Below are 24,598 nucleotides of genomic sequence, written 5' to 3' on the forward strand. Positions count from 1 at the left end.
TTGAAGAAATTGCTAATTTTTTTAATGTAAAAAATTATTTTTCCAGAAATAAAGCAATATTTGAAGATGAATAACAAGTATTACTGATAAGTCTTTGTATATATGGGAAAATAAGTAAAATAAACATACTGTCACAAATTACTTTTTCAGGCTCAGCAGAAATAAAACCAGAATCCAAAGAGGGAATACTTTATTATTTATGCAATTAATAATTTTTATATGAAAAATGGTTATTTTGCTAGCTTTGTAATTAATTTATTGATTGATAGTGAGTAAAAATATCGTAATGTTCTACAAATACGCAATACATATTTAAAAGAGAAATGCAGTCTTGTTAATTTTTAGTTCTTTGGTGGATTAGATAATTAGATATTCAGGATTATTTCTCCCCTTTGAATTGTATGAAACCTGAGGTGATAGATTTTATATTTGCTTCAGTTGTTGATTGTTTTTATCTATAGCGAGATGTGTTAAATCGTTTTGGTTGGCTTTGTTTTGATAATTATAAATTAATAGTTTAAGAGCTCTCAAGTGTCTGAATCCATATTCTTAAATATTTACAGTTGTCTCTTGAATAATGAAAGTTTGAACTGCATGAGTTCCAGAATTTTTTTCAATGAATACAGTTGGCCCCTCCCTATCAGTGAGTTCCCTATCCACAACCAAATGTGGACTGAAAATACAGCGTTCATGGGCTAGCTGACTTTTTGTATCCACAGGTTCTTCAGGGTCTACTGTGGGACTTGAATGTGCGTAGATTTTGGTATCCTGCAGGAGGTCCTGGAACGTATCCCCCATGGACACAAAGGGATAATTATTGAGATAATTATGAATTCACATGCAGTTGTAAGAAATAGTCCAAGGAGATTCCTTATATACTTTGCCAAGTTCCCCACAATGGTTACCAATTTTTAAAACTGTGGTATAATATCACAACCAAGATAGTGACATTTATGCCATATACCTATCTTATTCTAATTTTTTTCAGTTTTGCTTATACTTGTTTGTCTATGAGTGTGTGTGAATGTATGTGCATGTTGAATCTGTAATTTTAAAAATAACTTCTTGTTCTCAGGAAGTCAAGGTGGGTCATTAGGTTGTTACTAGTATCCAAAAAGATGTTTACTTGCTGTTTAAAGTGAACATTGAAATGCATAATTAAAGGCAATACAAGATCTTAGTGATATTAATAGACTGTTTAGTTTGATTTGCATTTCCATGATGAGAAGTTAAATTAAAATCTCCTGGATTAAAGTCGTCTGAAGAATTTACCTCTATCTCCTTTTAAGAGAAGCGAAATACAAGGCCGGGCGTGGTAGCTCACTCCTGTAATCCCAGCATTTTGGGAGACCAAGGTGGGTGGATGGCTTGAGTCCAGGAGTTTGAGGCCAGCCTGGGCAACACGGTGAAACTCCATCTCTACAGAAGATACAAAAATTAGCCTAGCTTGATGGCCCACACCTGTGGTCCCAGCTACTCAGGAGGCTGAGGCGGGAGGATCACTTGAACCCAGAAGGCAGAGGTGGCTGTGAGCCCATCATAACATAGAATCATAAATTTAGTATCCCAGGGGAATTTAATCATATGGGCTCTTCCTGACTCAACATGGATTACATAAAATCAAATCTCTCTCTTTTTAAAAATCATTTCCTTATTTCTATATTTGTAAGGAATTAAACCAATTGGAAGAGTATTAAAAAGGATCTTTAGTCTTCTGATTTTTAAGTGATGTATCTTTTCTTTCATTTATTACTTTCATGTCATCTTATCCTGTATAATTTAAGTCATCCTATATATTTTTGCAAATACTATCTTTCCTCCTTCTGTCCCTCCATTCCTTCCTTCTTTTGTGTATTCAAGTAGTATTTATTAAATCCTTCATTTTATTCCAGGCGTAATACTACATCTTAGGAACAACTTATTATTAGACATGATACTTTCCGTCATGAACCACATAACTTGGGTATAGTTGGCCAGACCTTAACGTTGACATTAGTCAGGCATGCACACACACATACATGCACACGCATGCTACAGTGCTGTAGATATTCTGATGGACGTTAGTGGGAAGGTAAATGGAAGACATGAACAATTCTAACTGAAGATGGCTGGTTATCAAAAGGTGTTTTGGAGGCCTGCCTTTTGATATCAGTTTGTTGATACTATACACACTATTTCCATATTGAGTTATAAAACTAGGAGCCTTTAGTTTTCTCAAATTAGTAAAATGCTGAAATAAAATAAAATATTACAAAATAAATTTCTTAATAATAGGATCACAAAAGCCTTAGTAGAATGAACAATTTAGAGAATGGTCAGTTCTAGTATGGGTGTTAGAATATTTATAAAATAAATGAAGATTTGTCACCTTTATTTCATACAGTAGAATATATTTACGACTAACAGTATTCTACATGAGGTCAGGTGCGCATTGCCATGATTTGTAATTGGAGTCTTCCTTACCCTCCCCTAATGATGTTGGCTTTTTCTTCCCTTGTAATTGATTATGTGTTTGTAAATTAATTTCTCTTAAGTGCTTTAGAATTTATTCTATTAAGTAGTCTCATTTCAAATCTTGTTTATATTATTCTCTTGCTTCTACCTCCTGTTTTAAACTTCAGCTCTGGCCCTGCCACCTTGATAATAATTTCATGCAACAAAGCTGAAACTGAAAAGGTTTTACTGTAATTTGATGTTCTGAAGAAAAGGAGGTCTAATGGTTCATGTAGTTGTGATTAAATATAAAGGTGGAAGTGTTTGCTTCTTCATGGACACAAGTTGGGTTTGCAGTATTGATTTAATAATCTTCAGCTGAGCAAAATTACTTAAGAAAAGTGACCCCCCAAATGCAAGATGATTACAGGGCCAGAAGCAAAGGTGATGCTCATTACATGTTTGTTCAGCAAATGAATAAATACATGGAGTGGTGAGAACTAAATTCCACATGTTCGTACACAGCTTGTTCATGGAACCATCTTTTTTATATATCATGGATTGGTAATAAGCAATGGTAAATACATTCATTGTGTAGTAGCCTTGATTTGCTTTTACTTTGTTGGCTTTGAGAAGTCAAAAGGGTGGATTAATAATTTACATTAAAAATGTTATTTTTTCCTGAGGATATGCTTTATTTAGGTTTAACATCCTTGGTTTAGAAGCTGAAATTATTAGAATGACAAAAATCATGATGATGATGATGTCAATAATATCTGCATTTTCACAGGATCCTAAGGAATAACCTTTGATTTTGATAGAGATATTTGTAAGTGTGAGGAGCTATAGTAATTAATATTTTTGAAAAAATAGTGGAGGAAATGCCTGTTTATATTTGAAACACTGCCAATTTTCCCATCAAGAAATTAGGATTGTCCCTGACTTTTTAATGTAATTGTCCATTATACATTTAATCATTGTTATTTGGTAGATCAGTGTTTGTTCAGAACTTCTGTTTTTTTGTAGTAGCCATCTCTCATGTAAGTTGGTGACTGTTGCTCTTCCTTAATCTTTATCAACTCTTCTCTCCCACATTGCCACCTATCTAACTGCAGTAATTTTATTCAAAGTGTTCTATTGAGTTAGAAAGAAAAAGGAGGTAATATATAAATCTACACTAAATAACTTAGAAAATATAAGGACTATATTCTCAAAAAATTAAGATTGTGCTAATTAATAAAGATGCTTTTGCTTCCATTTTGGTGGCTTACCATGGGCATTATTTTATTTCTTAATTGCTCCTCCTAAGTTTGTTGTGAAAGTGAGACCACATAGATAAAGAACTCAATATAATGTCTGCTATATTATAAGTACTTAGTAAATGCTGTAAGTTTTATCTTCATTATTTTAAAATTGAGAAGAATTGAGGAAGGAAATGGAAAAAAATCTAATGGCAGCCAGTAAGATGAATAAACATTTTCCATTGTTTTAAATATGGTTGTGCAAGTATTTTTTTTTACTAATGCATAAGTGCATTCCTTATTTTCTCCTTTCTGGAACTCTATAATATCAGGATAATGTCAGTGGAGCAGTTAATCCTGGTTATCTAGAAATGGAATGGGTGACCCACCTTTGATGTTGCCCTTTACAGCCACATACCTCTGCCTGGCTTAGCTATAAAGTAGGAAGTACCAGTGTGGGGTTACTGTGGGCTGAATGTCTCCATTACCTTTGGGGGTAGAATCAGCTCTGGGAGCTCTGTTCCTGTTTCCTTTTGGATTCAGTATGATCTTTTCTGCCTCCCTTTTTCTTCACCTGGAATGAAAGTGGTTCTAGGTGAAGGCTAGTACTAGATTGGCTAATTGCGATTATCAAGCAAATCTGCATGTTGAACGAGACTAGTTTTTATCCATATGTTTTATTTTCGTCTTTATTTATTCCCAATTACAAAACACTAAGATAGGCTGGGTGTGGTGGCTCACACCTGTAATCCCAGCACTTTGGGAGGCTGAGGCGGGTGGATCATCTGAGGCCGGGAGTTCAAGACCAGCCTGATCAACATGGAGAAACACCGTAAAAATACAAAATTAGACGGGCGTGGTGGTGCATGCCTGTAATCCCAGCTACTCAGGAGGCTGAGGCAGGAGAATCACTTGAACCTGGGAGCCAGAGGTTGCTGTGAGCCAAGACAGCACCATTGCACTCCAGCCTGGAAACAAGAGCAAAGCTCAGTCTCAAAAAAAAAAAAAAAACAAACCCAAAAACCACTAAGATAAAACTTATAACATGTATTGAGTTCTTACTATGTGCTCGACATTATACTGAGTCCTTTATCTATGTGGTCTCATGTTCATGACAAACTTAGGAGGATCAGTTAGGAAATTAAATTGATTCCACGGCAAGTAGCAACCAGTCGAAGGATCCAGAGTAAATATAAGCTAGTAGTGCTCAAGATGGTTAGCAAAGTTTTTCTAATATGGTCTGAATTATTGAATCCTAGGAGTATATAATTCCCACTTTTAATGATTTATGAAATCAATATAAGAATCTATAAAATTTACTTTAATAATGTCTCATATATTTTCTCCTTATTATCTACATATACAGTTCTTTTCCAGAATAAAAGTATCACAGTTTCCCTTTTTTTGGGGAGGAGGTCAGATTCATCATATCAGAAAATATAAAATTAGGACATTCATGTATCTGGTGGAGGACAAAATATTATAGATGGTTATTATAAATTGAAAGTAAGGTGCTCAAGCCTGTGTTCTTTGCAATGGCAAATCATTATTTTTACTCTAGCTAAGAATTGTGCATAATGATTTCCATATTGCTGTGCCTATTCCACTTCAACTCTACTCTTGCTATACATTTTCTACTTTATTCTGGATAACTGATATTTAAGATGAATAATATAAATAAATTAGAGGCCAGGCCTGGTGGCTCACACCTGTAATCCCAGCACTTTGGGAGGCCGAGGCGGGTGGATCACCTGAGGTCAGGAGTTTGAGACCAGCCTGGCCCACATGGTGAAACCCTGTCTCTACAAAAAATATGAAAATAGCCGAGCGTGGTGGTGGGCACCTGTAATCCCAGGTACTCAGGAGACTGAGACAAGAGAATTGCTTGAACCCGGGAGGCGGAGGTTGCAGTGAGCCAAGATCACACCATTGCACTCCAGCCTGGGTGACGAGAGTGAAACTCCATCTCAAAAAAAAAAAAAAAAAAAAAAAAAAAGAAATCAGAGTGTGTTTAAAGAAAGCTATACTTTAAATTCGTGGTTTTACTTAAGTCAGTGACTGTACAGAGGAAATCAGATGTAAGTGATATATTAACATATTTTGGTAAGTCATCTTTACATTTATACCTATCTTCTTTAGAAACAAAAAGATGTTTTGACAGATATACATAATTTCAAACATAATTTCTATCTTCTGATACAAAGATGTTTTGACAGATATACATAATTTCAAACATAATTTCTATCTTCTGATATTATTTATTAAAGTTTTTGGTGTTCGTAAGCAACATCTACCCATTTGCATGATGCAGTTTTACAAATATCCTTTAAATGTAATAACTTTTTGGCTATGTAAGTATTCTGATATATAGTCATGAAACAATAAAAATGATTTTAACCATGTGAAGTTTTGGTTTTTTTTTTAAAGAAAAGCAGTTGACTTCTTGCATCACATAGGTAATTTATATAATTGTGGTCGTTTCTGAGTGTCTGATTCTGCTTTCAGACATCACACCATTAGTTCTGAATGTGCTCATTCAGAACTTCACCAAGTAGATCATAGGAATAAATGGTGAAAAGAAACTCTTTGATTGTTAGGAACTATACACTGAGAGGACATGATAAATATACTCACCTCTCTGACCTTTAGTGCTGGAGGCGATAACTTTCAGGATCCTTATATTAATTTCAGGAGTTCATGTGAAATTATCAAAAAAGAGCAAAGTAAGTTTTTCTAATAAGAAAAATATTTTATAAGAGTAATATAATTTAAGTTAAAAGCAATTTAAAAGTCATTTTCCAATAATTTTTAGACTATTTTGTCCAAAATTAACATGTTTACAATATTGAACGACAGAAACTCTTACCATCAGTTATGATTTCATGGTCTTAAAACTGTTTTTTTTTACAACAAATTCCAGCAATTTGTTCCATCCAATCTGGCAGTGATTTTTATCTCAAGGCAACGTTCTCTCATTCATTAAACCTCTGCCTTACAATTTTATTGTAACATAACAAATGTGTTAAAATGCTTGACATTCTATTTGTTCATTTTTTGAAGACATTCTTTCTGATTTCTTAAAGGAAAAAGATGGTGTATATTGCTTTAGTCCTTTGCCAATCCTCCCTCTGAGATGCCATTCCTGATTTCTCCAGGTTGCCTTAGGAGATTTTTTTCCTTACTGGTAAAATTTTATCTTATACCTTCAGCAAACACTTGTTATATTAGGTCGTAATTATCTCACCATTAGAGTAAGTCACATAAGGAAAAAGTCCACATTAGATTCATTTTACATCTTCAGTATTCAGCATTGTGACTGGCATTGTAAGTGTTTAACAAATAATTTTGAATGAGTAAATATGTATTTAAGTAAAGTTCAGCTGGATATGATTTTATGAACAAAATAGTCCTGGGAATAGTACTGTCTTCAGAAGTCTGATACATGGTGGGCTATTGTAGGTCTATTGATCACACCTCAAATAAGCATATGTAAGGATTCTCTGTTAGGACCACTCCACAGCAAGAAACTATGCTCATGAGTGATAATATCAGCTTTCCTTCCTTCATTTCCTCCTCCTCTTCTTCTTCAAAATCTGCCATCTCTATACTCTATATTCATGTTGGAAAGGGAAAGATCCAGGGAAAGTGAGAGAAAGGAGAGGAGAAGACAGAGAAGAAGAATAACATATATATGGAACATATTTATAGTTAGCTTACTGGGCATGCTGAATGTGTGATATAGATGTATTTTACAAGTTGGTTAAAGCGAGGGCATGAGATTTTCTAGTTTGCAGTAGCTATGTACAATTTTGCATCAGGTCATTTCTGGAGAAAATGCTATCAATGCAAATGAAAAGATGGGGAGTCGTTTTGGTGTCCTTTACACTTGTTATTCTTGGGAAGAAAAGCTCACAAATCTTCTCTCCCTCCCTCCCTCCCTCCCATCTTCCTTCCTTCCTTCCTTCCTTCCTTCCTTCCTTCCTTCCTTTCTTCCTTCCATCCTTCGTTCCTTCTTTCCTTCCTCTATCTCTCTCTCTCTCTCTTTTTTTTTTAATTGAGACAGGGGCTCACTCTGTTTTCCAGAGTGAAGGGCAGTGGCACAATAACCGTTCACTGTAGCCTCCAACTCCTGGGCTTAAGCGATCCCCCAGTCTCAACTTCCCAAGTAGCAGGGACCACAGGCACAAGCCACGATGTCTGGCTAATTTTTTGTATTTTTTTTGTAGAGATATGGTCTCACTATGTGACCATGCTGTTCTCAAACTCCTGGGCTCACACAATTCTCCTGCCTTGGCCTCCCAAAGCACTGGGATTACAGACATGAGCCATTGCACCCAGCCTAAATGTATCATTTCTTAGGCTAGTAATGCATAATATGTCATTTAGTGCTTATTCTTCAGAGAAAATATTTAGTTATTAAATATACTAAAATACAACATTGAAAGTCTGATTATCAGGTGGAGAGAGGGGACTTCATTGTCTTAAACCAATGAATCTTACTAGCTTTCTTCTTTCTGAAATTTTTGGGACAGAAATGTAAAATGTTTTGTGAACTCTGACACTCACATCATAAGCTTGCCACCCTTAGCCCTGTGATGCTTTCACAGTGTTTTGTTTGTTTAATCTTTCCTACCACCTTACCTCCTTCAAAACTCACCCTGTGGCCCCGTCCTTCAGGCACTCACATTCTGCTTTCCAAATTGACTGGCAGCTAATCTTATAAATGAATCCACTCTAATGGCTGCTGATATGATAGTGGGTTTGAGGTCAATCCTTCCACCTAGTTAAGTTGTTACATTTTTTTGAAACAAGCAGTGTGATAAAATATGAAAGGGTCAGAAAACCAGAATTGGAGTCCTGGTATCACTACTAATTTTGTAACTTAAATCAGTCATTTTAGCTTTGAGCCCTAGCCCAATCAATATGATGATAAAAATTATACCTACTCTTTTTACTTCCTATAGCCCTACCAGGTAGAAAGCATTGTGGAGATATCTAGAAAGTTGCATGTAGGGAGAGAAAATACGTACAAATCACTCTTATAAGGAAGAAAGTGATGAAATGTATTAGAGTAAAAAATCACATACTTTGGGAATTCAACAGGAGCAATCACCTCTGAACTTCTGACAAGGAGAGGCTGTGTGAATCAGGGAAGTGTTCACCAGAGAATGGCAGATAGACTTCAAAGGATAGCTAGGGTTGAAACAAAACACTAATGATGGGTACTTCAATAAATACACCACACAGCTGAAGCCTCCAGAACATAGCAAGACTGAGTATGTACTGCACTGAAAACACAGAGTGTCAAGGAGTCTGCTTTTGGGTAAATGCTTCTCATCAGTTATGTGTAACTTAAGAATATATGCAACCGTGAAGATATGCGATTGTTAATCAGAGACTCCAGAATGACTAGGAAATGGCTGCAGCATTCTTCAGCTTTAAAAAGGATACTTTTGGAGGTATTTTCTGAAATGAATAATATTTTCAACAATATAAATTCAAACTGTAGAAATAAGCAACTTTGTGCCAAATTATAGCCTATAAGTGAGATCTTTCTATCGACTAAGGCATTTTTAAAGTAAATAAATATATAGTATGTTTATTGAAGATGCCACACTGTAAGAGAATTTAGTGCGTGGCACAGTTAACACTTTAATGTTTAGTACTGCATAGGACTTATTCTCCTAAATTTTGGGATCTGCATCACAGTTTCATAACATATTTAGATATTATTTGAAGTGTGCTGGCAGTAGTATTGAACTCAAGGAATGAACTCAAGTATCCTAGGGTCTATATTCATTGGTTATATGTTACATTTTTATTTCTTTATGGTTCTGTTTTCCACTCTATTTTTGAACAAACTCTTTTTAAAGACACATGGTACTTGTTATACTTGTTCTCTGAATAAAAATTTAAAAATCTGTAATGGAATTCTACTTCAGACCAGTCTTCTGAACATTTCTATTAGGGAATGAGAGTACCTCACAGTGTAGTATGAGCTCCCTGGGTTAGACTGAAAGGTTTCAAAGTAATGCTTTTATTTTTCCCTTGTCATTTATTCATCTGTCAAATCATTCTGCCATCCTTTGGTTTTATAATTTTGTGACCTAAAAATCACCTCTCCACTCCCAGCTGGAACCTCCTGAAGATCTTTACTTCCAGGCAAAACTCATTCTAATCACAACTGAAGTCTAACAATATTTACCTGTCAAAGCTTATCAGTATATTTCCTTTCATCTCCAACTATACAATCTCATCATGTTACAATACATGACCATATCTTGGTTTGTTATAGATATCAAGCTAACACAGGATCTAGCACGTCTACAAACAAACAAGTATATGTGATTGTTAAATATCAGCAATGACTTGTGATAAGTTCTAAGTGAATTATCTTCTTCTAAATTAACGACAGCAGCCTATGAAAAGCAGGCAGTTTTAACAGACTACGTGTTGACTAAATAAATAAATAAATGATGTTGATTGACTAAATTTAGTGCCATAAATATCAATGAGTTCTATTGATGTTCTTTAAAAATTATTTCTTCCTATCTTGTCATCGGACAGGATCAATAGTTGATTTTTATCTTGTTTCTTCTTTGGAGTTTTTCCTCCTGGAGAAAAACACACCTTCTCTGACCTGTACTCTTCATGGACGGACCTTTCTGTGGCCCTCCAGCTGGTAGACTGACTTTTAGCTGCTGCACATTCCACTGCTGTTTCCTGTGCTTGCTAGCCAAGTCCTCTTACTTCCAAGATGATACCCCCACTAACTGGAGCTCCCAAAACATAACCTTCCTCTGTTTCTTCACATTTGGATCAGGAAGTAGTATCAGGTCAGCTGTGACACGGGATGTTGTCTAGAAGGTCAGGGAAGGTTTCTGGCAGCAAAGAAGCACACTGTGCCAGGCTTCTTGAGCAAAAGAGTGGTGACCTGCTCCCTCCCACTCAACTTCCAGCAGCTGAAAAGTCTCCAACGACCACAGCTCCACCTTCTAATGACTTTTCCGAACATTTGCAAGAGCTAGTCACACTCCAGGTGAATATTTTCAGACACCTGGGATGGGCTGTTTCTTCCTGTTTCTTTGTTCATATAAAAAGACTTTAGAGCAAAGGGCAGAATATGGCAATTTCTTTCTCCCAACCTTGAACATGGCCTCTGAATATAAAACTTATTTTGTATGCAGTGATGTAAGTGAAGGTCTTCTAGTTATTTCATGGTGGGTTTTTCAGATGTTCTTTTTTTTTTTTTTTTTTTTTAAAGACAGGATCTGGCTCTGTCACCCAGGCTGGAGTGCAGTGGCACACCTGTAGTCCTTGATCCCCCCCGGGCTCAAGCAATCCTCCCACCTTAGCCTCCTGAGTAGCTGGGACTACAAGCTCATGCCACCACACCTGGCTAATTTTTATATTTTTTTGTAAAGACAGGGTTTTGCCATGTTGCCCAGGCTGGTCTTGAACTCCTGAGCTCAAGCAATCCACCCTCCTTGGCCTCACAAATTGCTGGGATTACAGACGTGAACCATTGTACCCAGCCCATGGTGTTGTTTTTAAAAACACTTAGAATTTTCTGTTTCATTACCAATAATATTACTGCCTACCCACATATTTCGTCTTCTCTATTTCTCTATAATAAAAATGACAATTGGAAAGTTTCAATGGTCCTTAAGATAGAAAGAATAACCTGTCTCAGAATAAATCCTTAAGACCAGCCAGAATAATAAGGTAAAAGGTTCCTGAGTTTGTAATATATGTCAATATTTGGTAGCATATAAATGTAAATTTGCTTCTTATATGATGCTGTACACATTGATTTCTATGACTTTTTAGAAACTATAGCCAAAGAGAGCATTTTGCATTCTTGAGAAATACAGTAATTTTACTCTAGGTTTTAGACCATTCCAGTGTGTTGTGTTAGAGTTTTTAGGTACTGAATTCATCGCATGAAAAGGGAATGTTTCTATTTTGCCACCACCATTATGTTATCTTTTCCAGTGCAATTACAAGCTAATTCAGTGCTCTTTGTGTTGGACTAATAGCTTCTGATTTGCTGCTGTCACCCAGTACCTCCTCATGCTCTTTTAATACCATCTGCAGTGCCCCCAGCACTTACCTAGGGTGAGCATTTTTCTCTAAGTAGAGACTCATCTTTGGCAAATCATTAATGGAACATCAAAAAGATCCCATCTGTTAGAGTTACATATGGCTAAGATCAGAATTATCAAGTATCTCATTTTTTCTTTATTCCCTTTTTCTTTTTTTCCTTTCTTATCCACACAATAAATGTAGTTGTCAGCAGGATAAGTTCATGCGCCGGATAAGGTCACAATTTCATTTAGTGACAACTTCCAACAGTAGGAACTTACAAGGTTCGATTTATTAAAGAGTCAGAAGGGATAAGATCACTGCATGGCCAGCCTGATTTATCAGGGTTTGACTAGAGTACTTGAATAGGGAACGTCGTATTTCAAGTTTATGTTCAAAACTGTAGTTTAGTATTTGTTGTGACTGTATGACTCAAACATTGAGAAGGAAAATTAGAAAAAGTATCTCTATAAGGCAATTTGTAGTCACCAACCAAGAACTATCATTTCCTGAGCCAAACCATGCTTAGAGATGGATCAATATAGCATAATATAAATGGTGCTATTTGTCTCAAAATGCAGATGAAACATGGTTATTAATGCCTGAGGAAACACACATAATGGAAAGACTGCAGTTTGGCTGTGAAGATAATCAGCAGTGAAATGATCTAACCCTCTTAGGTATCTGGCAGGCAGCTGTCAAATGGTTAAACCATAAAATAGCAAGAGCTCTGCCATACTTCAGCCACCTTGGCTGACTTTGAAAATGTTTTGAGATTTTTAGAATCTTTGAGTGCTTTTTGAACTCAGCATGACTTCGGGGCTGTCCATGTTTGATACCATGATGTATAATGTCTTCCAACCATGAAGAAAATATAAATATGGGTTCTGACGCTATAGCCTTCTGCTATACTATGGCCTGATAAATATTGTGAGCTAATTCATGTGGTCTGCTTTAAAATTTGGTTGTATATTTAAAACCAAGTTCAAACCAATCCGAATTGTATTTTCAGCAAATGCAATATGATCTTCTGTCATCTCATTTACTTGCAGCTATGTCCTATGAAATCTGAGCCTTGAGTTAAGGGTCGTTCTGTAATTACCTTATATGTTTATATCATCAACTTAATGGTGAATTCAGGTGAAGCATGATTGCTGGTAACTATTCTAAAAGACTCATATCTGTCTGTTCCCCTTTGGTGTGCTACTATGTTCATATCCTTTGCTTTCTAAAGAGGCATCAAAAAGACCATATTAAAAAAATACAATGTCTTGATAGCACTTTCAAAGAAAAAATATTTGAGGGTGTCTCTGGTGATTTTAAGTATTTCTCTCCACCAGTGAATTTCTTTTATTTAGGCCAAAAAGTGGGTTGATATTTTAAAAAGCTGTGGGATGTTTGGTAGTGATTTCTGACTTAGGGCCTTTTTTTTTTTAAGTTAAGCTATCATAAGTCTTTGAGTAATCACAGACTTTTAAAAGTATGCATTATCAAGAAGATAAGAGAAACAGCCCTGAGCACTAACAATATTATCTTTTACCAAAATTGATTAGTCCGTCCTATATGCCTCAAATATTTTCTGTGAACTTACCCAGCATGTTAAAAAATCAGGCTTCTTTTTGAAGAATAACTGCAAAAATATGAACTGGGCAGAGAAGAACATTTTTTATTTTTTTATCCCACTCCGTATTCTATAGATGAGGTAATGTATGTGAACGCATTACATAGAAGGTTGAACAAGTGAAATGGATGCTTGTTGTAATACAAAGAGCAGACACATATTAAGACAACTCTCTTTTGTCTCCAAAAATCAACTTCAATTGTACTAAAATTGAGATACGTCGTATCATCAAGATTTTCATCCCATCAATTGTGTTCCATTTGTATTTTTCAAATATCATGTGTCACAAACTCTATTAATTACCAGGGAATAAACAGAATTATTAAAGAAATTTGTAGATTAAAATGTTTATGTTTCTGTTGAGGTGAACTACATTATCAAGGAGAAACCTACTAGGGAATAATTTAATGCAAAACTGTATGATATTGGACTATAAATGCAATGGGAGTATTAGGGAAGAAAAATTCGGTTTTCTCTAGAATTCAGAGAAGGTGCATGAAGGAGAATAGCTTTGGGCTTGACCTTGCAACATTAAAAGGGTCTATTAAGGCAGGCAGAAATAGGATGTGTCTGCCAGATAGCGGGAACCATTCTCAGAAAGTTATGGGGGAGCTAAACTGGAGATGAGGAGGAATGGAAGGAGAAGAAGGCTTTTTTGACTGGAGGGAAGAACACATTTGGGAGAGCAGTAGAACGCAAGAGTCAGGCAAATACTGTGGAGCAGTATCAGTGGTATTAAAATTCAGGCAGATATGTTCAATTTGGGATGGCCAAGAAGTAGCTAGTGAAGGAACTTGCATAAATGGGTAACATGATGAAAGTGGAGTTTTAATCAGTTTATCCTGGCAGAGATTTGAAACCTGAATTGGAGCTGTAGAATGAATTGAGGCTGGTGGGTTGTCTACATCTGAGTTGATGAAAACCTTAAAAATGCTGATAAGAAGGGTGAATCCAACAGCCAATGGAAAAGAAAATTAGTCAGGATATGAGGAGTGATTTGGATAAAGGTGACAAAGAGGGCACGTGACCACAAGCAGACATCAATGAATGGTTGGATGTGATAATGGAAGTATATGGACATGCTCTTAGAATTCTTCAATTTCTTTTTGGTGAAGTAGCAAATATTTATCAGGTACTTTGCCTTTGCATATTGTTAATCCTCACAGCAACCTTTTTAGAAAGCTATTGCAGTTCCCACTTTGCATGCAGAAACTGAAGTTCAAAGGGTTAGGTAACTTGCTAAGGATCACATGGCTTATTACAGTTACTCTTCTCTCATTCAATTGTGAACCCATTCCAGCGTGTATCCCGGTCTACCACTTTACAAAACTCCTTTCACTCCAAATACCTGTGATTGCCATCTCATCCAAAGGAATCTTTCCAGTTCTTCCCTTCCCCCTTCCCTTTTCCCCCTTCCCCCTTCCCTTCCCTTCCCTTCCCTCCCCTCCCCTCCCCTCCCCTTTGACAGAGTCTTGCTCTGTCACCCAGGCTGGAGTGCAGTGGTGCGATCTTGGCTCACTGCAACCTCTGTCTCCCATATTCAAGCAGTTATCCTGCCTCAGCCTCCCGAGTAGTTGGGATTACAGACATGCACCACCACAACCAGCTAATATTTGCAGTTTTAACACAGATGGGGTTTCACCATGTTCACCAGGCTGGTCTCAAACTCCTGACCCTCAGGTGATCCAATCACCTCGGCCTCCCAAAGTGCTAGTATTACAGGCCTGAGCCACCATGTCTGGCCTCTAGTTCTTTTCTTACTTTCATAAATTTTCAGATTCCTTGATTGATTCCCCTCTCCTTCAAATTCTCAATCAACCCCTTGGTGTCTATGGTACTATATCCAATTTCTTTTCTATGTCTCTTGCCAATTCTCCTAAAGTTTCTATGCCTATTCCTGCATCACTATGCCTTTGAAGGTCTTTAGAATTCTGTCCTAGGTCTTCTTATTTATCATGATATACTCTTTAATCCTATGGCTTGTATTACCATATACAAGGTGGTTTTAATTACTGAATAAATGCCAAGACCTTGCTTCTAGTTAAGACCTTGCTTCTGGGCCCCAGGCCTATACTTGCCTACCTAAAATCACCTATTGCCTTCTTTATAGCTACTTTAATATCAACATTACCAAACTATAACTCCTTATTTTACTCTTAATTCTTGCTTTTCTGTGTTCTTCTGTCTCAACAGGAACATGGCCATTGGCTCATGTGCCTAAGTGAGATACCTGTGTAACATTCTAGGATTCTCTCTGCCCTAAGTTCTAAAATCTGAACAATCACTAAGTTCTATGACTTTTACTTCCCAAGCCATATGGATTTTATTTCATGGATTCATCCAGGTTCAGGCTTGTTTTGTTTTTTGCTTTATTCTTTGGCCTAACACACTGTCTGGTACTTATTTATAAGTACCAATAAATATTTATAAAATAAATGAATGAATAAACGAATGAATGAGGCATAAAGGAATAAATAAATCAAATAAGAATTGGAGCTTTTCCATCTTATTTCAGAATATCTAATCTTTTCAAGTCAAACATCCATCCTCTGATAAAGTGGTTCGGGGACTTAAGTCTGTGACCCACCAGCCCAGTGCCCTTCTACTTCTCATAATATGTTGTATGTAGGGAAGGAAAATCATGCTATCATGGACTGTCAGTGTTGAAAAACAGCTTAGCAAGTTGTGAGTGAGTGCAAACCACTCTTTTAACAGTGACAAACCAAACACTCAGGAAAGATATAACTTATTTGAGGCCGTTCAGCTGGTTATTGAACAGAATTGGTGTAAAAATCTTACTTTTAGTGCAGTAATCTTTCCTCTATTTCATAACACCTATTAATTTTTGGAAAAAAAATAAAATATCATACTCTTAAGCAATATGTAAGTTAAATGTAACTTCCCTTTATACAATGTTTTGTTTCTTTTGCTATCCTTAACCTATGTAACCTTGGTAGAATATACATGCTAATTATTTGCGCTATGCTTGCAGTTTTTAGAAATGCTATTGTGAATAAATGAATATTTTTATTTAACTGTTTCAGCATAAGAAAGGATTTTCCTAAACCCTGAAATAACTTGTTGGCAAGCAAGAAAGGAGACTGGGGTATTCTTGCTTGTCTAGTAAAGTTGAAAAGATTGACTTGATATTTTGAACAGTTACTGGACTTTCTGTTGTGGCCATATTTAAGAGCTTGTAAAAGTATTTTTGGTCTGCTTAAAATTTTAATGGATAATCAAAGACACTTCAGAAACTTTGGAGACATTTGGATATCACTTTACAATCTGCCCCAAGTTTGTAGTTCTTAATCCATTAAAAGACAGAGCTGCTTGTAAATCCACAGGTATAGATAAGGAGTCACTGTTTACTGAGTCCAAACCCTTTTCAAATGAAATATGTCAGTGGCAGAAAGAGAGGATGAATTACTTTTTTAAAGGGTTTTCAAAGATTCTCATGATTCCTCTGGTATCACTTAAGTGTGACATGACTGGTTTTTTAGTGTGTAAAAAAGCAAATTATTTGGGTATATTTTTATGTAGAAAAGAAGATTTTTTAACTTGTATTTAGCTGAGAGATTGAAATGTATTTTATTTTAAATGGTAAATTGTAAATAAACTGTTTTAAATGTAAGTAAGTATGGTTGAAAAAAATACTGAGAACTCCTAGCCAATAGAAATTAAACAGTTTATTTTCAAATAAGAAAATTATCCTAAATATTTCAATAAAGAAAGTGAATATGCATATATTGAGTCGTGTTGTCCCACTGATTCCTCTCTGACATCAGAGTAGATTGTTATCTTTGTGCTCTGTCTCTGAGGGTGTTTCTATAAAGGGTCTGTCATTCCAATGCATTAATCAAAAAGATTGCACAAAGATGAAAAACATTTTCAGAGGAAAATCTCATAAATGGATTTGTTATTCTGTATACAGAAAACAAATTATTGTCTTTCCATAGTTTCTGGACACTGGATAAGCATCAGGATCTAGTACTTAGGCATTAATATGTTATTTACTATACGTATTCTATTTATATCTTTCAGACATTCGGACTTATTGAATCTTTCTGGGCTCATTTTCCTCACTGCTGATCATCATTAGCTGTTGATATACCAGAATTTAAAAAGTTGGAGAATGTGTATTTGTCTTAATTTAATGTGTTCTTCAATTTTCAGTGTATTTTTCAAGTGGTAAAGAAAGAGTATGAGAAGAAGGGTGAATGAAAGTGTTGTCACTGAATTTAAATTTTTGATTGGGAACATGAAATTGTTATGAACATTGCATCTTTATTGCTCAGATATAGATAAATTTAAATTTTACCATGGACACAATTTAACCACTACCGAAATATTTTAGCTGATTGTAGTTTATATACTTCAGTTTTGGTTTTCAGGATAAGCAATAATGAAAACATGAACAATAATGTCTGGTATTTAAACTATTAAAAGGAGGTGACACTAAATAGAGAAATAAAGAAGAGATAGAATTGAACTCAGGTTGGCAGTGTTTCTTTTTGAAAAAAAACTCAAGATTGAATCTATGTATTTAAAGATAGCTACTAACTTGAAAAGAAGCTAAAGCGAGATTAAGGCAACAATTTCATATGTTACCTGTCATGACATATAGCATTTAGAAAATGTTATTACTAGGCCAGGCGCGGTGGCTCACGCCTGTAATTCCAGCACTTTGGGAAGCCGAGGAGGGTGGATCACCTGAGGTCAAGAGTTTGAGACCAACCTGACCAACATGAAGAAACCCTGCTCTACTAAAAATACAAAATTAGCCGGACCTGATGGCGCTTTGCCTGTAATCTCAGCTATCTGGGAGGCTGGGGCAGGAGAAACTCTTGAACGCGAGAGGCAGCCTGGGCAACAAGAGCGAAACTCTGTCTCAAAAAAAAAAAAAAAAAAGAAAGAAAATATAAGTACTGAATATATTCTATTCTATTTTCCTCAGCTTTCTATTCTATATGGATTTTCAGTGACATTAAAATTGACGCAAAAGTAATTGTGGTTTTTGCCATAGTTTTGCACCAACCTAATATTTCTTTCTGTTTCATTCCTTCATATTCTCATGTCTGCTGTTGATCAGGCTGAAAATAAATAACATTAAAACACAATGAAGTTAGGTTACTGAGATAAAATTTTTAAAATATAAACATTTTAGTATGGTGATATGGCATGGTAATACTCTTTGGGGAATAAATATCCTAGATATAATTATTTTAAAGACAGGCTGCAAGTCCTGATTGTGATTTTTTTTCTACCTATCCCAAACAACATTTAAGCTATTGGCCGTTTTTTTTTTTTTTGAAATTTTGAGGCCCTCTTTTATTTATTTGTATATTATTCCATTCATTTATTTCTTAAGCAAGCATTTAATGAATTCTTACTTTATGCAAGTGTGTATACTGTCTTTACTTCCTATTTCCCTTTATAGGTTCCAAAATATTACTCTGGAGTAAATGAAAGGAAGAAGACCTTCCAAAGCTGGTTATTTCTAAAGTATTTTTTTGGTACAATAGAGTTCTATTCAGTATACCAAATACAGAAAAACAAGTAAAAACTCCGTCTAAACATTTTTTATTTGAAAAACATGCCTTGCTATATATTGTACATGTAGCCATTTTACCTATTGAAACTGGTAGTCAATTTCAGAAAATTACCAAGTACTTCAAAAACTCTCCAGATATTGTTGTTTGACAGTCTTGAATAAATACAAGAATTTTAGCACAAAATGATTGTCCTACTGTTTCTTGTCTACCTGTTTTGGCATTGGATCAGTGCTTTTTAAGGGAGTGTTACTGTTTCTGGTTCTTAAAGACTTAACTAAAAAGAATTGGCTTCAGTAGATGATGCATGTGAAAAGGTGAAAGGAAGAAATTGGACTAAATTTGAATACAATTTATAAGGACAAGTTTTATTTTCCTCTCAGGTTAAGATGAGTTGTTTTTCAGACAAGCATAATTAATTCTCTTTATATGAATCCTGAGAATATCATGTGTGTAAAGCAAACACACAAAAAGAGGTGGCTGCTGATAAAGTACAAGTAAGTATTCTAAACACTTCTGTTCCTTTGTCTGCAGGAGAGCTGGAGGTGTTTCAGAAAGATGGGGAACGAAAAATTCAGAGTCGACAGCAACTTCCAGTGGGAACAACCTGGGGGCCGTTTCCTGGGAAGATGGACTTGAATAATAATTCTTTGGTATGTGGATATTCCGAGATGGTTAATATTTTGTCATCGACTGTTAGTATTTTGCCATAGCTCAGAAATTCTCTCTGCTTGCTTTCCAATGAAATCACTAAAAATAACCATTTGTTTTTGCTTTTTCGTGGACAGCAAAACTTGGATACTTTTCAAGTGGTTTGTGTCTGACAGTAATATACGCAGAATTTAGACAGAAACAGGTTACTCATACTAAATTGTGGCTAGTAAGGTAATATGTAAGGTTATTGCTTTATCTGCTTAGCCAGACCAAGACTGTTCACATTTAGTAATATATAAAATTGCCTTTATTTTTCAGATGACACAAATTGTCATCCATTACAGGTTTTCATGAAGAACAAGAAATAAACAACTTTGTTTTTCCTTGGTAATACTGTTTGTACCTTTAAAAGCAGGGATGAGTGGTCAGCATTATAATTTTTGTTATTCAGCTTTTTTGTAAAAGTTCTGAGAACAGAAAGTCTATCTCTTGCCATGATTATGTGGATTATTGATTAATTAGATGTTTTAAAAGTAATGGAGGCTGGGCACAGTGGCTCACTCTTGTAATCCCAGCACTTTGGGAGGCTGAGGCAGGTGGATCACTTGAGGTCAGGAGTTCGAGACCAGCTTGGCCAAACATGGCGAAACCCATCTTTACTAAAAATACAAAAAAAAATTAGCCAGACATGGTGGCGGGTGCCTGTAGTCCCAGCTACTCGGGAGGCTGAGGCAGGAGAATTGCTTGAACCCAGAAGGCAGAGTCTGCAGTGATCCAAGATCGTGCCATTGCATTCCAGCCTGGGTGACAGAGCAAGACTCCATCTCAAAATAATAAATAAATAAATAAATAAATAAATAAATAAATAAATAAATGGAAAGGTAGGTAGTTTGGTTACATTTAAACTTTATTTCTTAATTGGATATATAAGTTTGCTATTCCTGCCTCAGCAACTCACCACAAACTTTGTGCCTTAAAACAACATAAACTTATTATCTTGCAGTTATGGAAGTCAGAAATCCAAATTGGGTGTCACTGGGCTAAAATCAAGGTGTCTGCAGGTCTGAACTCCTTTTCGGATGCTTTATAGGAGAATCTGTTTTCTTCCTTTTCCAGTTTCTGAGGGCTGCCCGTGGCCCTTCCCTCATAGACCCCCTTCCATCTTCAAAGCCACCAGGGCCTGATGGTGTCTTTCGCACGTCCACATTCCATCTCTGACTCTTCTGCTTCCCTCTTACACATTTAAGGATGCTTATGATTACACTGTGTCTGCCTGGGTCGTCTAAGCTAATTTCTCTATTTTAAGGTCAGCTGATTAACACTCTCAATTCCATTTGCTTCCTTCATTTCTCTTTGCCATGCAAAGGAATGTTCGCAAGTTCTAGAGGTCAGGATGTAAACATCTTTGCAAGGAGCTATTCTGCCTACCACATGGGATAAAAGAAAAACAATAGCTGAAAACCTCTCTTATAATAAGTGATAACACAGGTGATGAAATTTGGGAAGAAAAATGTTTCATATTCCTTAGAGGATCCAGAAATTTTATAAGTATTTATTCCCCTGAAAGTCCTTCTCTCTAAATGCCATTTATGTAGGAACAGTCTTGTGACTTTTAAATGACCCTATCTATGCTAAAGGGACATAAGAACTCCCAGAGGGGTTTCGACAGGTGTACTGGGTTCAGCAACATTACATTCCTTTTTTGATTTATTACATGAAGGAAATCCCTTCTTCAAGTTATTACATGAAAGAAATTGATACATGTGGATCTCCGTTTATTCAGTACCATGTGGATGTGACAGAGGTTGTTGGTTCAACTAAAAGTAATGATTAGAATAAATAGGAAATATTTGTGTTACCAAACTTTTAAAGAGTGCATGAGATCCCAGGGGTATATTTATTACTTTGTACATTCATGTATTTATCCATAAAAGGATGAAGTAGGGGTTTTCACATACATTTAAGGACCAAACAAGTTGACCTTACAGTCCAGACCAAATATTTAATATTCTGGGCAATTTGTTCTAGGTGGACCAGTGCAGCTACTTCAAAAGAGATTTGTGATGTAGCCACAAAATGCAGGCCTCAGTTGATTGAGTTGTATTAACAGATTGTTTTATTGATTCCTTTCAGAGAGCAATATTAACTGTGCCCATTTCTCAAGCTAATGAATGTTAAGAAAGGCAAGAGAAGGATTGTCTAAACATCAAAGATTGAATTAAATGCTATTCTGAACTTATTTTATCTGGGAGTTTCTGTTTGTCTTCTAGCATTGCTTACTAAACATTTTAAACTATATCATATTTATCTTATTTATCACAGTGTATCAGATACCAATGCAACCTTTAATCATTTGTATATTTCTTCAAAAGTGTACTGACACTGTATCAGCTATAGTTGACATGCAAGATGAACATTTTCCAGTTTACTATATTAAAAGGATATATTTACTAAAATGCTATTTTTGATTAATCTTGCTATTACTCTCTGTATGTATACAGAATGGTAGTTTTATGACATTTTTACCATATGCTAAATCGTGATGGATAGAAGATAAACCTGTCTGAGAAAGTTTGATTTTTTTATTTTTCATTGAAATAATTTCTGATTTTAGACAGTTGATGTCATTTTGCTATTTTAATAGTTCTATATGACTGTAAAGCTATTTTATGCCATATTTAATATTTTTAAAAGGCGTTAACTTATATGAAATTTTCAGAATTTTTGATACTATTTAAAACATGACTACTCTTAAGTTTATCAACAATTGGGTAATGGGTGATTATTATTTATAGAAAACAATTTTAATACTTCAGTTTTCTTCTTTTGTCTTAGGCTTTAAATATCAGATTATTTTATTTAGTTAAAATACAGCATTTTTCCTTATTTTAAAATTTAGTTGCCTCACTAAAATATATTTTCAAATGTTTTTCTTTTGAAATAACATCCTCTTCCAAAATTTACTTCTGAGTTTATATCATTAAATACTACTAGTATTATTATTCCTACTACTGTTACTACTGTACATCAAATTGGTTAACATATATGTCTGAAAAATGGAAATAGATTAGCTCATTTAGTCCTCCAAAAAACCTGTGAATTTGGTTCTATCATAAATCATATTTTACAGATAAGAAAATAAAAATTCTCACTTCTGATTCGAGAGTCTGCTTTTTTAAAGACTCTGCCACACTGCATTCTCAGTATAACATCTGTAACATGATTTGAGCATGATAAAATTGTTGATGATTTCTTAACATGAATCATAAATTTATAAAAATCTCTGGGAGGAAGTATGCAAAAATTAGAAATATACCTTTTTTTCCCCGATGGGCAAAATATTTATTATGTAATTAGACTACTTGAGCAGTTAAAAGTTAATTCAAAGACTTCTGGAGTTTTGTTACCTCTCATAATTTGGACAGTACTATAATATGTATTTGAAATCATAAATATTCCTTATAATAAAATATATAGCCTACTACCCCTTCCCTACCCAACCTTGAATCAAATTTGGATTAGCGCACTCTCTTAAATTGCTTATTCGCCAACTGATGTAATGTTACTCTGCTCAAACTCATGGTGTTGGCTCGGGAGATTCAGCTCACTAATTAATCCAACACAGTAATTAATTGAGTCACCATGCCAGATGTCAAATCCTTTTTATATCTTTCAAGTCCCCATCTTCAAGTACATTAGCAATATGCCACCTTCTGCAGGAAGCCTTTGCAGACCAGGCATTTAGATGTATATAGAACATTTTAAAAAACACAGAAACACCAAACAAATTAGTTTGACAAAAAGTTGTTCTTGGAATTATATAACACACTGAACATAGAAATAGAGTATCTTTTGTCCACACCTTATTATCTTGGTAGATACTTCATGCTTTAAAAGTTTTATAATAGCAGCAGCAGCATAGTAAATACTTTCATTGGGCCAGATACTGGTCAAAGTGCTTTACATGTTTTATATCATATTTACTTCTTACACAAGTGCAAGAGAAGATAATATTTATCTCCTTTGTTGCAGAGGCGTAAACTGCTACTTTGGGAAGTTAAATAACTAGCCTAAGGTCAACTCAGTCTGATTCCATAACACATGCTCCAGTCTTAGAAATGTTTTCTGTGATGTGGTAATAATAATACTGCCTAGCTTATAGGAATTTTGGACTAAATGAGATAGCATATGTGAGTTATCCACACATTTCAACTACTTTTACTAGTCAGTAATCTGTGGAAGTGAACCCATTGAAATCTTTCAACTTTAAAGCAAAAAGCACTCTTTAAATTAAACAAGTAACACTATAAACCTTGGCGTTAGGGGATTTTTACATGCCTAAATTTGACTGTTTGCCAAGGGCTCTGTCTTAGGATTCTCCAGAGAAACAGAACAACAGGATGTGTACGTATATAGCCAGAGATTTGTTATAAGGAATTGGCTTGTCCAGTTATGACGGCTGGGAAGTACAAAATCTGCAGTACTCAGTCAGATGAGATACCCGGGAGAGCCAGTGGTGCAGATGAAGTTCGATAGCGGTCTTTGGGATATTTCCTCGTCTGCAGGGAGGCCAGTCTTTTTGGTCTATTCGGGCTTTCAGTTGATTGGGTGAGGCCCATTCATATTTTGGAGGGCAGTCTGTTTTACCCAGAGTTCACTGATTTAAATGTTAATTTCATTCAGAAACGCCCTGTGAGTTGGCAATTAAAATGAACCATCACAGGCTCCGAAGGTCTGCACTACCTTGCAAGTTTCAGTTTTTTGAGGTATGACCTTATACCCCTGAAAAAATTGATACCAGTGAGGGAGCCCAGCTTTCTTTCCAGCATCTCACCTCATATCTCAGAAATAACTTATATTAAATACTATCATGGTAGCACAAACTTGGTGTTTTTGAAAGTTTTGCAGTTTTATTCACTGAAAAAAAATCAAAGGACTACTGATGAGGAAGAAATTTTAAAAATCACCTTAAGTTCTGATCAATATCTGGTTTGGATGTGTTTTAGAACATCTAT

General features: G+C 35.4%; 1 protein-coding gene and 1 long non-coding RNA gene across 12 annotated transcripts in view; one reads left to right on the top strand and one right to left on the bottom strand.

Annotated features, from left to right (window-relative positions):
* The window catches only part of ZFPM2 (zinc finger protein, FOG family member 2), a 486,102-nt gene that overhangs the window by 223,462 nt on the left and 238,042 nt on the right, over positions 1–24,598 (top strand). For all 10 annotated transcript variants that reach the window (NM_012082.4, NM_001362836.2, XM_047421634.1 and 7 more), the window contains one exon: positions 19,464–19,582. In NM_012082.4, coding sequence (NP_036214.2) covers positions 19,464–19,582 — 119 coding nt within the window. The remainder of the gene's footprint in view (positions 1–19,463; positions 19,583–24,598) is intronic.
* LOC105375696 (uncharacterized) lies at positions 1,381–15,588 on the bottom strand. 2 transcript variants are annotated; one of them, XR_001745682.3, is made up of 5 exons: positions 15,512–15,586; positions 13,351–13,404; positions 6,309–6,349; positions 4,163–4,248; positions 1,381–1,419 (listed from the first exon to the last, which is right to left on the bottom strand). It is a non-coding gene; the product is annotated as an uncharacterized LOC105375696 (long non-coding RNA). The 2 variants fall into 2 exon arrangements; XR_001745683.3 differs by lacking the exon at positions 13,351–13,404 and having other exon boundaries at positions 15,512–15,588.

Source organism: Homo sapiens, chromosome 8 (assembly GCF_000001405.40).
Source record: "Homo sapiens chromosome 8, GRCh38.p14 Primary Assembly".
In the NCBI taxonomy this organism is placed as follows: domain Eukaryota; kingdom Metazoa; phylum Chordata; class Mammalia; order Primates; family Hominidae; genus Homo; species Homo sapiens.